The sequence below is a fragment of the Homo sapiens genome, chromosome 8, assembly GCF_000001405.40.
Source record: "Homo sapiens chromosome 8, GRCh38.p14 Primary Assembly".
Taxonomy (NCBI): Eukaryota; Metazoa; Chordata; class Mammalia; order Primates; family Hominidae; genus Homo; species Homo sapiens.
In genome coordinates this window covers 17,824,657-17,837,466 of record NC_000008.11, presented here as the reverse complement: position 1 = coordinate 17,837,466, position 12,810 = coordinate 17,824,657, and positions in this window count along the sequence as shown.

The following is a 12,810-nucleotide window of genomic DNA, read 5'->3' as shown; positions in this document are numbered from 1 at the left end:
GACACTTGATCCCTGCAAGCAATTATCTGATTTCTTCACGTGTCCCTTTAATATTCTTTAAAGGAGTCAAAGCATTTAAAATAGCCCTTTTGTCTGTGCCAAATGTTCCCAGCTGTCTCAAAATATGAACCAAATTATGTACCAAGGGATTTATCTTTTGAAAATGACATCTACAGTAGTGATTCTAAATTTCCTAACTTAGAATTCAAGGCCCACAATATCCTGCTTTTTCAGAGCTATCTCACTTGATTGAGCTTTCCACCCCATAAAGATTGTCATTTTTAGTTTCCTGTATCTTTGTGGTATATTTCTTTTTCTGTGTCTTCATGAAGGCCGTTCTGCTATGCTCGTCTATCAACTTGTTTCCTACTCCATCTCAAGGTTTTGCCATGTGATCGAAACCCTCCGAGAATAAGATGCTTTCTAATTTGTATGTAGGTACATTTCATCTTATTGACCTCTATAGCCATCCTGTGATATAAAAGCATAAGCATGGTTACCCATGTTTCAGGTGAGGAAATTGAGGCCTAGAGGGCTCAGTCATCCTGGATTCTTCTGCATTAACAAGCTGCTCTACTCACTTGGCAGTCTGTACTGCCTCACAATATTACCTTTGTACATATGCATGACTTGTCATCATAACTGCATCTCCAAGGCAGTTCATCTCATTGTTCCTTGTATTCTCCCCTGTGACTTGAACATAAAAGGAATTCAGTAAATATTAGCTGTTCGACTTGTTAGAAGCCAAGAGTCATAAAACTTTTGGCTCAAAGAGAGCCTTTGTGATTATTTAATGAATCCTTGAGTTTGTCAAACTGGTTTGAAGTCTGTATAGCACTGGAGGTAATAGGTACAATGCCATTCCTTTTGTTAGAAGACATGAGATAAAATTATTTTAATTTTAAATAAATACTGACATATAATGGTATGGAATATTAACATTAAAGTTGTAAAATGAATCATAAAACAAGTTTTTTAGACAAAACATGAAACTTCAAAGAAACTCCAGAGAAATATCAGAACTGTAATTAGCTGTTTCAGGCTATCCCAGGCTTCTGGAGGTGGGAGGAGGGGGTAAATATTGAAGTCTGGAGAGGTTAAGCAAATTGCCCTAAATCACACATTAATTCAATCAATATTGATTCAGCCCCCACTACTAATTGTGTAAACACCAAGGTTGCAATGACAAGCAAAACAAGACATTGACCACATAAAGTTTGTATGTAAGTGGAGGTGAGAGGAGGACAGCGTTGTTAAATTAATATTCAATATGCATAAACTATATAAAGCAGCCCCTCTCTTGGTCAGTCCAGCAGAAAAAAACTTTATTGCAACTCTTCAGAAAATACCCAAGAGAGTCCATCTTATTGCAAAACAGAAAAGCTTTAACATCTTTTCCTGTGTCTTACATTCTCAGTGTTTCTCTTTCCAGTTACTCACTGATAAAAATGAATTTTCCTAAGTTCTTCCTGACCGTTGGCCCGAGAAGTTCTTAGCTCTTTGACCTCTTACTCCTATCTTTTCCTCTTCTTCCATCTGTTCTATCCTCAATGCAAATGAAGCTACCTCCTGGCGAGAGTTTTCTTTAGTGATTGTGGTGGTGGAAAAAAATATGAAATCTTATGAATTGGTTTTTTGTTCCTGTTATATTTTTTAGTGACACAGTACAGTAGATGTAAAAATGCAGAGAATTTGACTTAGGCTGGGGTTAGGGAAGAATCCTTTGATGAAATAATCTTTTAAGGGAGGCTTGGACAGTTAAATGAGAACCATATTAACAAAGAAAATGACGTAAGAAGATTTCAGGCATAGGGATCTTAGTCAAGGAGACTCCAAGGTAGGAAGACACAGGGAAATGACAAAAGGCCATTATGGCTAGAATACAAGGCAAGAAGCTGCCACGAAGAACCTGGAGAGGGAGAAAGGAGTCCAACGATCCAAAGCCTCGTGGACCACATTTAGGATTTGATCTCCTTCTCTGAGAGCGTTGAGAAGCCATCGAAATGAAGCAGGGCCGGGCGCAGTGGCTCTTGACTGTAATCCCAGCATTTTGGGAGGCAAAGGCAGGCGGATCACTTGAGGTCAGGAGTTCGAGACCAGCCTACCCAACATGGCAAACCCCATCTCTACTAGAAATGCAAAAAGTAGCTGGGCATGGTGGCACACGCCTGTAGTCCCAGCTACTTGGGAGGCCCAAGAATCGCTTGAACCTGGGAGAGAGAGATTGCGGTGAGCCGAGATCATGCCACTGCACTCTAGCCTGGGTGATAGAGTGAGACTCTGTCTCAAAAAAAGGAAAGCAGGGCAGTGACATGACCAGATTTGCATTCTGATGCAAAGGATTGGTGGGGACTAGAAATTTGGGGAGAACAATTGATAGGTTTCTGTTGAATTGAGATCATGTCAGGGGAGATGGAAAGCAGAAAACTTCCGAAGTTCTTTGGGAAGAACTGGTCAGGACTTAGTGATAGATTGGATATGGATGTGAAAGACAGAGAGGTCAAGGACAACTTCTAAAACCTCTGGCTTCAGTAACTGCATGGATGATGGTGACACACATGAAGAGAGGAAAGTTAGAAGAGCACCAGAGTTTGCAGGGTAATTTTGAAAGTCAGATGGCTTAAAAATGAGACAGAAAGGAAAAAAACAAAGGCAATAGTGATTTTGCCCCAGCAAGTCATGAAGCTTCCATTTTTTCTTGAAATTCTTGCTTGAATGATTTATTTATTTATTTATTTATTTATTTATTTATTTATTTATTTGCGACAGAGTCTCACTCTGTTGCCCAGGCTGGAGTGCAGTAGCACGATCTCGGCTCACTGCAAGCTCTGCCTCCCGGGTTCACGCCATTCTGCCTCAGCCTCCCGAGTAGCTGGGACTACAGGTGCCCGCCACCACGCCCAGCTAATTTTTTGTATTTTTAGTAGAGACAGGGTTTCACCATGTTGGTCAGGCTGGTCTCGAACTCCTGACCTCATGATCTGCCCGCCTCGGCCTCCCAAAGTGCTGGGATTACAGGCGTGAGCCACCGTGACCGGCTTGAATGATTTTTTATATCCATTTATCTCCTCAATAACAATCTAAAAGGCACATAGAAAGCACTTTGAATTTAATTTGTTATTTTTTCATTGACATTGAAAGAATGACATATACATGGTATCATTTAGTTTAATAAAATAGGTAGGAAGTGAGCTCATTCTCAATTTTATATATTATATTATGAAATGTAAGTTTCGTGTATGTTCATAAAATGAGTAGGTAAGAGATATTCAGGGTATCTGTCACCATATAACAAATCACTCCAAAACGTAGCAGCTTAGGAAAAACTATATTATTGTATTACTATTTCTCATGATTTTGGGGTTCAACTGAAATAATGGAGTTATTCTCTAAAGCTTCCATAGTCACATATCTGGCTGGTGAGTTGATGCTACTGAACTTTTGCCTGGGACACCCACGTGATGGAACACAGTCACCTCTCCATGTGGCCTCAGTCTCCTCACAGTGTGGGAGTTGGGTTCCAAGACTGATCGTCCTAAGAGAGCCAGGCAGAATCTGTGTTAACTTGTAGGACCTAACCTTAGAAGTCGCATGGCTAAACTGCTATATCACAGGCCTGTCTGGATTCGAAGAAAGGGAATATAGTCCCCATCTCTCAAAGTGAAGAGTGACAACTTGCATGATAAGATGAGCAGGTAGAACGGGAGGTGTTGTTATAACCATCTTGGCAAAAACAATCTGCCATAACAGAGAAGAGCAAATGGAAGTACACTCTTCTTTGCTGGACAGTATCTATAATAGCACTTGGGACCAAGTAAGTATTTGTTCAATGAATGACTAAGCAACTAGAATAGGATACACTATCTTCCAACTCTGATTCTTGTTTATTACTTTTCATAGTTACTCTTTGGCTAGAATCTTAAGTATAAAGAGAACTAAACTAACGGAAAAAACTTCAGATTGAATAGTCTTATGAAGTTCAGATTTATTATTAATATATTATATATTTATTTATAAATGATATATAAATAGTATATTCAGTGGCTCATGCCTGTAATCCCAGCACTTTGGGAGGCTGATGCGGGAGGATCGCTTGAGCCCAGGAGTTCAAGACCAACCTGTGCAATATAGCGAGACTGCATCTGCAGGAAAAATAAAAAAAAATTAGCTGGTCATGGTGGCATGCACCTGTCGTCCCAGTTTCTCAGGAGGCTGAGGTAGGAGAATTGTTCAAGCCCAAAAGGTAGAGGCTGCAGTGAGTAGTGATTGAACCACTGCACTCTAGCCTGGGAGACAGAGCAAGACCCTGTCTCAAAAAAAAAAAGTATGTCTAATTACTTATTAAGTATAAGTTTAGTCTTCATATTTTTAAATATTCTAATTCATCTGAAATAAAGTATTGTAAATTCACCTTAAGAGTAAAATAATAAAAATATAAATTATTATAATGACAAATATTTCATTTCAGTGGTCTGGTGGACAGAGACTAAATAGTTAGAATAATCAATGTGGTGGGCTTAATAATGGCCTCTTAAAATGTCCATGTTCTAATGCCCAGAACCCATGAGTGTGCCCTTATACGGCAAAGGAATGTCACAGGTGTGACGAAGTTAAAGACTTGGGGATGAGAAGATTATACTGAATTAGCCCCATGGGTCCTAAATATAATCACAGGTTTTCTTCAAAGAAAGAAACAGAGGGACAAATTGGACTCTGTTAGAGCAGAAGGCAAAGCCAAAGACATATTGGAGAGAGGGAATGGGAAAGGGAAAGAAAGAATTCTCTCCTGGAACCTCTCGATGGAACCAGTCCTGCTAATAGCTTGATTCCAGCCCTTTAAGACTCATGTTAGCCTCTGACCTCCAGCATGGTGACAGAATAAATTTGCGTTGTTTTAAGACACTAAATCTGTGGTATTTTGTTACAACAGCCATAGAAAACCAATACAGCCAACAAAATGATAAAATGGGGAAAAAAATTTGCATTTGAAATAATTCAAAGCCACATGTTCTTCAGCTGGCATAAATAGGAAATAGATACAGTTAATTTAAAATGCTGAATAAAGATTATAGGTATTAAAATGAGTGTATATGATTGCAAAACCCTATGCAATCTATGTTAACATTTTTCCTTTTGAGGCTGGTAGTGTAGTAAACAACCTTCCTCCTTCCGTTCCTTCTGTCCTTCCCTCCCTCCCTCCTCCCTTCCTCCCGCCATCCCTCCTGATATAGTTTGGATGTTAGTCCCTTCCGACGCTCGTGTTGAAATGTAATCTCCAGCGTTGGAGGTGAAACCTGGTGAGAGGCAACTGGATTACAGGAGTGGATCCCTCATGAATGGCTCAGCGCCATCTCCTTGGTGATGAATGAGTTCTTGCTCTGAGTTCACTCGAGATTTGGTTGTTTAAAAGTGTGTGGAACTGGAGATCCTTATGTTAAGTGAAATAAGCCAGGCACAGAAAGACAAACATCACGTGTTCTTACTTATGTGTGGGATCTAAAACTCAAAACAATTGAACTCATGGACGTAGAGAGTAGAAGGATGGTTACCAGAGGCTGGAAAGGGTAGGGCTGGGAGGAGGGCAGCGGTGGAGGGAAGGTGGGGATGGTTAATGGGTACAAAAAAAATAGAAAAAATGAGTAAGACCTACTATTTGATAGCACAACAGGGTGACTACAGTCAATAATAACTTAATTGTACATATAACTAAATAACTAAAAGGGAGTATTTAGATTTTGTGTAACAAAGGATAAATGCTTGAGGGGATGGATACCTCATTCTCCATGATGTGATTATTACGTATTGCATGCCTGTATCAAAACATCTCATGTACCCTATAAATATATACACCTACTATGTACCCACAAACATCAAACATTTAAACATTTAAAAATAAATTTTAAAAAATTAAAATGAGAGTATGTGGCACCTCCCCCATCTCTCTCTTGCTTCCCCTCTCGCCATGTGAGACACCTGTTCCCCCTTTGCCTTCTGTTATGACTGGAAGCTTCCTGGGGCCCTCATCATAAGCAGATTCGAGCATCACACTTCTTTTTTTATTTTTTTTTTTGAGATGGAGTCTCACTCTGTTGCACAGGCTGGAGTGCAGTGGCATGATCTTGGGTCACTGCAACCTCCTCCTCCTGGGTTGAAGCAATTATCTTGCCTCAGCCTCCCAAGTAGCTGAGACTACAGGCATGTGCCACCAAACCTGGCTAATTTTCGTATTTTTGTTAGAGACACGATTTCACTATGTTGGTCAGGCTGGTCTTGAACTCCTGACCTCAGGTGATCTGCCCGCCTCAGCCTCCCAAAGTGCTGGGATTACAGGCATGAGCCACCGTGCCCCGCCCAGCACCACACTTCTTGTACTGTCTGCAGAACCATGAGCCAATTAAACCTCTTTTCTTTATAAATTATCCAGTTTCAGGTATTCCTTTACAGCAATGCAAAAACGGTCTAACCCACTTCCCTCCCTCCTTTCTTTCTTTTTATTCATATCAGTATGGACTCATACATTCTAACTTTACTCAATAGATTTTAACCCAGTATTACTATTATTTATATTAATGTGCAATTTTGCCAGTTTGGATTAGTGGGAACCACTTCAAGCCAACCCGTGTCCTTTTGATATGTGGCTATCATATTTTGAGCCTATCCTTACAGATACAATAAGATGTTCCTGATTCATCTTCCACTTTTCCTGCTCTAGTTTTGGGATCAGCATTTCTTCAAGGTTCCATTTATTAGAGTAAAGATATTTACAGACAATGATCTGGGTAGCAGCTGTGTTCTTTGCTGAAGGCCCTTCTAGGTCCAATGAGTGGATAGATTTAGGAATCACATACACTTACATAGACACATCTAAATACATGTATATACACATCTATGTATTTCCATAACTATTGCTACCTCTATCTACAAATCTATATCTAGATACTAAAAAGCATTATTTCATATTTGTACCTCTGATTCCAATCTACAGCTTGGTTTCCCTTTTCAATGTTTCTAACTTTCTCCGTGAACAATTAAAAACCTGGCTTTCATTATCCTCAATAAATTCATACATTTGTTCCAACCTAGAATACACAAAAACTCCTGTTGGAATTGCTAATCCACTGAGAAAAGCAAATCTACTAGAGCTGATACTTGTTTTCGGTTCTTTGTCTTCGAGGTAACATTTAAATATCATGAAATTCACAAATCTTAAGTGTGCAATTTGATGACTTTTGACACATGTGTATTCTGTATAACACTCTATCAAAATTTAGGGCTTTTTTTTTCACCCTAAACGTTCCCTAATGCCTCTTCCTAATTAACACCCCTGGCAGAGGCAAACTCTTCTTTTTTTTCCATTCCAGATTATTTTTCCACCATAGATTTTCAACACATATTTTCTAACCTCTTTGAGAAATTTATGTAAGTGGAATCATGGAACATACTCTTTGTATCCAGCTTCCTTTACTCAGCACATCTGAGAGATTCATCCATATTTTGGATATATCAAGAGTTCTTTCCTGTGGATAGTTTGTCATTGTTTGAGTGTACAATATCACAATCTGTTTATCCGTTCACCTATTAATGAGCAATTCGGTTGTTTTCAGTTTTCGGTGACCATGAATGTCCTCATTCATGACTTTTTGGACCTGTGTTTTAATCCCTCTTTGGTAAACATTTAGAAGTAGAATTTCTGGGTCATAGAGCAGGTATATGCTTAACTTTATAAGAAATTACGAATCTTTTTTGTTTTTGATTCCCATTAGCAATGTATAATAGTTCCACTTGCTTCACATCTTGGTCAATATTTGGTGTCTTCAGTACTTTTAATTTTAGCCATTTTAGTTGGGTGTAAGCTAGTATTTCACTGAAGATTTAATTTGCATTTTTCCAATGACTAAGAAAGAACTTGATCATGTGCTTATTGGACATGCATAATATTTCCTTTGTTGTGTGTCTATTACAGATTTTATTTACTTTATTTCTTGCATTGGTGTCATTACTAATGAATTGCTGCAGTTATTTATATATTCTCAATACAAGTCTTTTGTCAGATATGTACATTACATTTTCTCCCAGTCTGTGGCTTTCTGTTCATTTTTAAAGTGTCTTTTAATGAGAAGGCTTAACTTTTGATAAAGTTTAATTTATCTTTTAAAACAATTCTGTGGTTGTTTTCTGTTTTAAGAAATCTTCACTTACCTGAGGTTTTCACTGTAGACTTAGGTTTTTTTTTTAAAGACCATCTATAGTTTTAGCTTTTATATTTAGGTCCCTGGATGAATGAGGTAGAAGTTATGGTTGTTTTGTTTCCACATAGATATCTCGTTTTCCCACATAATTTATTAAACACTTTCCTTTCCTCACTGAATTGTCTTGCCACCTTTCTTCAGAATGAAATAACCAGATAGGTGTTGGTCTGTTTATGCCTCGTACTTTGTTTCATTGATCTATGTGTCTATCCTGTTGCCAGTATTACACATCTTATCATAATTTATGTTAAGTTTTGAAGTTAAATAATATAAATCCTCCAGCTTTGTTCCTTTATTTCAAGATTGTTTTGGCTATTCCAGGCCCTTTACATTTCCAATAAGTCTTAGACTCAGATTGTCACCTGTACTAAAATGCCTGCTAGGATTATAGTTAAAATCATTGTGGGGAAAATTGACATCTTAATAATATTGAGTCTAGCAACATTTGGACGTGGGGTATCTCTATATGTGTTATTTAATTGCACTGATTAGTATTTGTAGCTTTGAACATTGAGGTTTTACAGATCTTTTGCTGAATTTGTTTCTAAGTATTTTATGTCTTAAAGCTATTGTTAAAGTAATAACCTTAATTTGATTTAAAAATGTGTTTACTGTTAGTATTTAGAAATGCAATTGATTTTATATTGAACTTGAATCTTGAAGTGTTGCTAAATTCACATTAGTTCCAGTAACTTTTTGTAGATTCCTTAAGATTTTCTATATAAAGAATTATATTATCTGCAAATAGGAATCAGTTCCTTCTTCTATCCAATTGTTCTGGTTTTTATTTCCATTTTTTGACTTATCAAACTGGTTCAGAAGTTTATAGAATAGAATAGAACTTAAAGGAGAAGAGGCATCTTTGCCTGGTTTCCAATCACGTAAGAGGAGTTGCCTCTTTAACTGTCAAGTGTGATATTGACTGATGCTGTATATCAGGTTGAGGAAGTTTCTTTTTTTTTCTTTTTTTTTTTTTTTGAGACAGAGTTTCGCTCTTGTTGCCCAGGCTGGAGTGCAATGGTGTGATCTCTGCTCACTGCAACCTCCGCCTCCTGGGTTCAAGCAATTCCCCTGCCTCAGCCTCCCTTGTAGCTGGGATTACAGGCATGTGCCACCATGCCTGGCTAATTTTTTATTTTTAGTAGAGACAGGGTTTCTCCATGTTGGTCAGGCTGGTCTCGAACTCCCGACCTCAGGTGATCTGCCCGCCTCAGCCTCCCAGAGTGCTGGGATTACAGGCATGAGCCACCACCCCTGACCTGGAAGTTTCTTTTTATTCCTAGTTTGTTGAGAGTTTTTATCACAAGTGCATCTATTGAAATTATCATGTGTTTTTTTTTCTTTATTCTGTTAATATGGTGAATTACACTAATTTTCAAATGTTGACCAACTTTGCATTCCTGGAAGAAACCCCACTTGGTCATGATATAATATCTTTTTAATATATTATTGAATAAGTTGGTTAATATTTTGTTAATGATTATTGTGCTTGTATTAGGAACATTGGTCTCTAATTTCCTTTGTTCATGTCTTTGTTAGAGTTATGCTGCCAAAGTCAGATAACAGTATTTTGATGGCCTTGTAAAATGAGTTGACACGTATTTATTTTTCCCGTTTTCTGAAAGAGCTTATGTAATAGATGTAGTTATTCAAATTTTCTATTTTATCTTGTATCAAGTGTGATAAGTGGCCTTCTGAGTAATTTTTCATTTCACCTAAGTTGTCACATTTATTGACATAAAGTCGATTATAATATTCTCCTATTACCTCTTATTCCTCACATAGGTAATGTGTGTTCTTTCTCTTATGGTCTCCTGTCCCACTCCTCCATTTTTTCAGTCTCACCAGAATATACCCATTTTATTTATCTTTGCAAACCCATTTTATTTATCTTTGCAAAGAATCAACTTTGACTTTGTTAAGTTTCTCTATTGTGTCTGCTTTCTGTGTTGTTGGTTTTTAGTCTTATTTATTTTCCTCTCTTTTACTTACTATAGTTTTCATTTCTCCTCTTTTTTCTAGCTTTTTAAGTAGAAAGATCATTGATTTGAAAGTTTTATCTTATTTGATATAGCCATTTAAAACTCTAAATTGTCTTCTAAACCATGCTTTAGATGAGTCTCACAAACTTCTATTTGGGAATTTAGATTTTTGGAAGGAATGTACTTTTGTGATCATTCAGTTCCATTTTTTCCTAATTTTTCTTAGGATTTCTTCTTCAACACATTTAAAAGCATACTGTTTAATTTCTAACTATCTGGAAGTTCTTTTCGATATTTACTTATAATCTAATTATAATCCGAGAATATATTCTGTAAGACTTCAACCTTTTGAAATTTACTGAGACTTATTTCATGTCCTAACTTATGTTCTATCTTGATGAATGTTCTACACGCAAATATGTCCTGAAGTTGTTAGGTATAGTGCTCTATACACGTCAATTAGGCCAAGCTGTTTGATAATGTTTTTCAGATATTCTAAATCCTTACTGATTTTTTGTTACCTTATTGTTTACTGAGACGGCTATGTTAAAGTCTCACTCAAAATTGTGAACTTGTCTATTTCTCCCTTTAGTTCTGTCAATTTGGGCTTATTATATTTTGATGGTCTATTACTAGGTACAAATACTTTCATGATAGTATCTTCCTGATTAATGACCCTTTTATATTATTATACAACATCTTTATTTCTGGTAAAACTCTTTCTCTTAAAGTGTATTTTTTTTAATTGTTAAAAAAAGCCTTTCCAGCTTTTTTATGGTTTCTGTTTACATGGTATATACTTTCTATTCATTTACTTTCAAACTATTTGTGTTTTACAATTAAAGTGCATCTCTTGTAGACAGCATATCTTTGATTCTTGCTTTTTTAAATTCATTCTGACAATCTCTACATTTTAACTTACATATAATATAATTATAAATACTTTTGGATATAGGGCTATCATTTTGTTATTTGTTTCTTATTTGTCCAGTCTGATATTTGTTTCTCTGCTCCTCTTTTTGTGGCTTCTTTTGTGTTAATACAATATTTTAGTATTTCATTTCAATTCTCTATTGGTTTTTTTTTCTTTAGAGTCTAACTCTGTCACCCAGCCCAGGCTGGAGTGTAGTGGTGCAATGAAAGATAGCTCACTGTAGCCTTGAAGTCATGGGCTCAAGTGATCCTCCTGTCTCAGCCTCCTAAGCAACTAAGACTACAGGTACACGCCACTGCACCCAACTATTTTTTTTTAATTTTTAATTTTTGTAGAGATGGAGTCTTTCTTCATTGCCTAGGCTGGTGTTGAACTCTTGACCTCCAGTGATCCTTCCACCTCGGCCTCCCAAAGTACTGAGATAATAGGTATAAGCCACCATACCTGGCCCCTGAATTTTTAGTTCTACTACTTTACATCATTTTTTAGTGGTGATTCTAGAGATTGCAGTATACATCCTTAATTTTAGTACAATCTGCTTAGTTAATATTACATCATTACATGTAAAATATGTCTTGCAACTGCATAATTTTATTTGCCCAATTTTTGTGCTATTTTATCATATATATTACTTCTGCTTATTTTGTAAACTTTACAATACAGTGTGATAATTTTTACTTTAACCCTTCATATGTCCTTTAAATAAGAGAAGAAAAAATGTACCCATTTATATATATATATCCATATATTTACCATTTCTGGTGGTCTTTATTCATTCTTGCAGATCCAAGTTACCATCTGCTATTATTTCGTTTGTCACCTTAAGAATCTTCTATAGCATTTCTTGTAGTGTGTGTTGGTTGGTGATTCATTCTCTCACTTTCATTATTTGAGAATGTGTTTACTTCTCTTTCGTTTTTTTTTTTTCTTTCTTTTCTGAGATGGAGTCTGGCTCTGTCGCCCAGGCTGGAGTGCAGTGGCATGATCTCGGCTCACTGCAAGCTCCACCTCCTGGGTTCATGCCATTCTCCTGCCTCCGCCTCCCGAGTAGCAGGGACTGTGGGCGCCCGCCACCACGCCCGGCTAATTTTTTTTTGTATTTTTAGTAGAGACGGGGTTTCACCGTGGTCTCAATCTCCTGTCCTCGTGATCCGCTGGCCTTGGACTCCCAAAGTGCTGGGATTACAAGCATGATCCACTGCGACCGGCCCTTCTCTTTCATTTTTGAGGGACATTTTCATTGGATGTGGAATTGGGTGGACAGTCTTTTCTTTCAGCACCTGAGAGATGTAATTCCATTGTCTCCTGGAATCTATTATTTCTCTTGACTTGTCAAAATTTGATTAATCAGTCCCCTTTTTCTCATGTGTAGTTTACCTATGGACATTTTCAAGATTTTCTGTTTATCTTTTTTAAAAAATTATTTTACTATGATGTATCTAGGCATAATTTTCGGTATTTTTCTTTCTGCTTATGTTTGTTGAACTTCTTAGATCTGTACAATTATATTTTCACCAAATTTTGGGAAATTTTTGGCCACAATGTTTCAAATATTTTTCTTTTATTATTATTTTTTTTGAGACACAGTCTTTCTTTATCACCCTGGCTGGAGGGCAGTGGCATGATCTTGGTTCACTGCAACCTC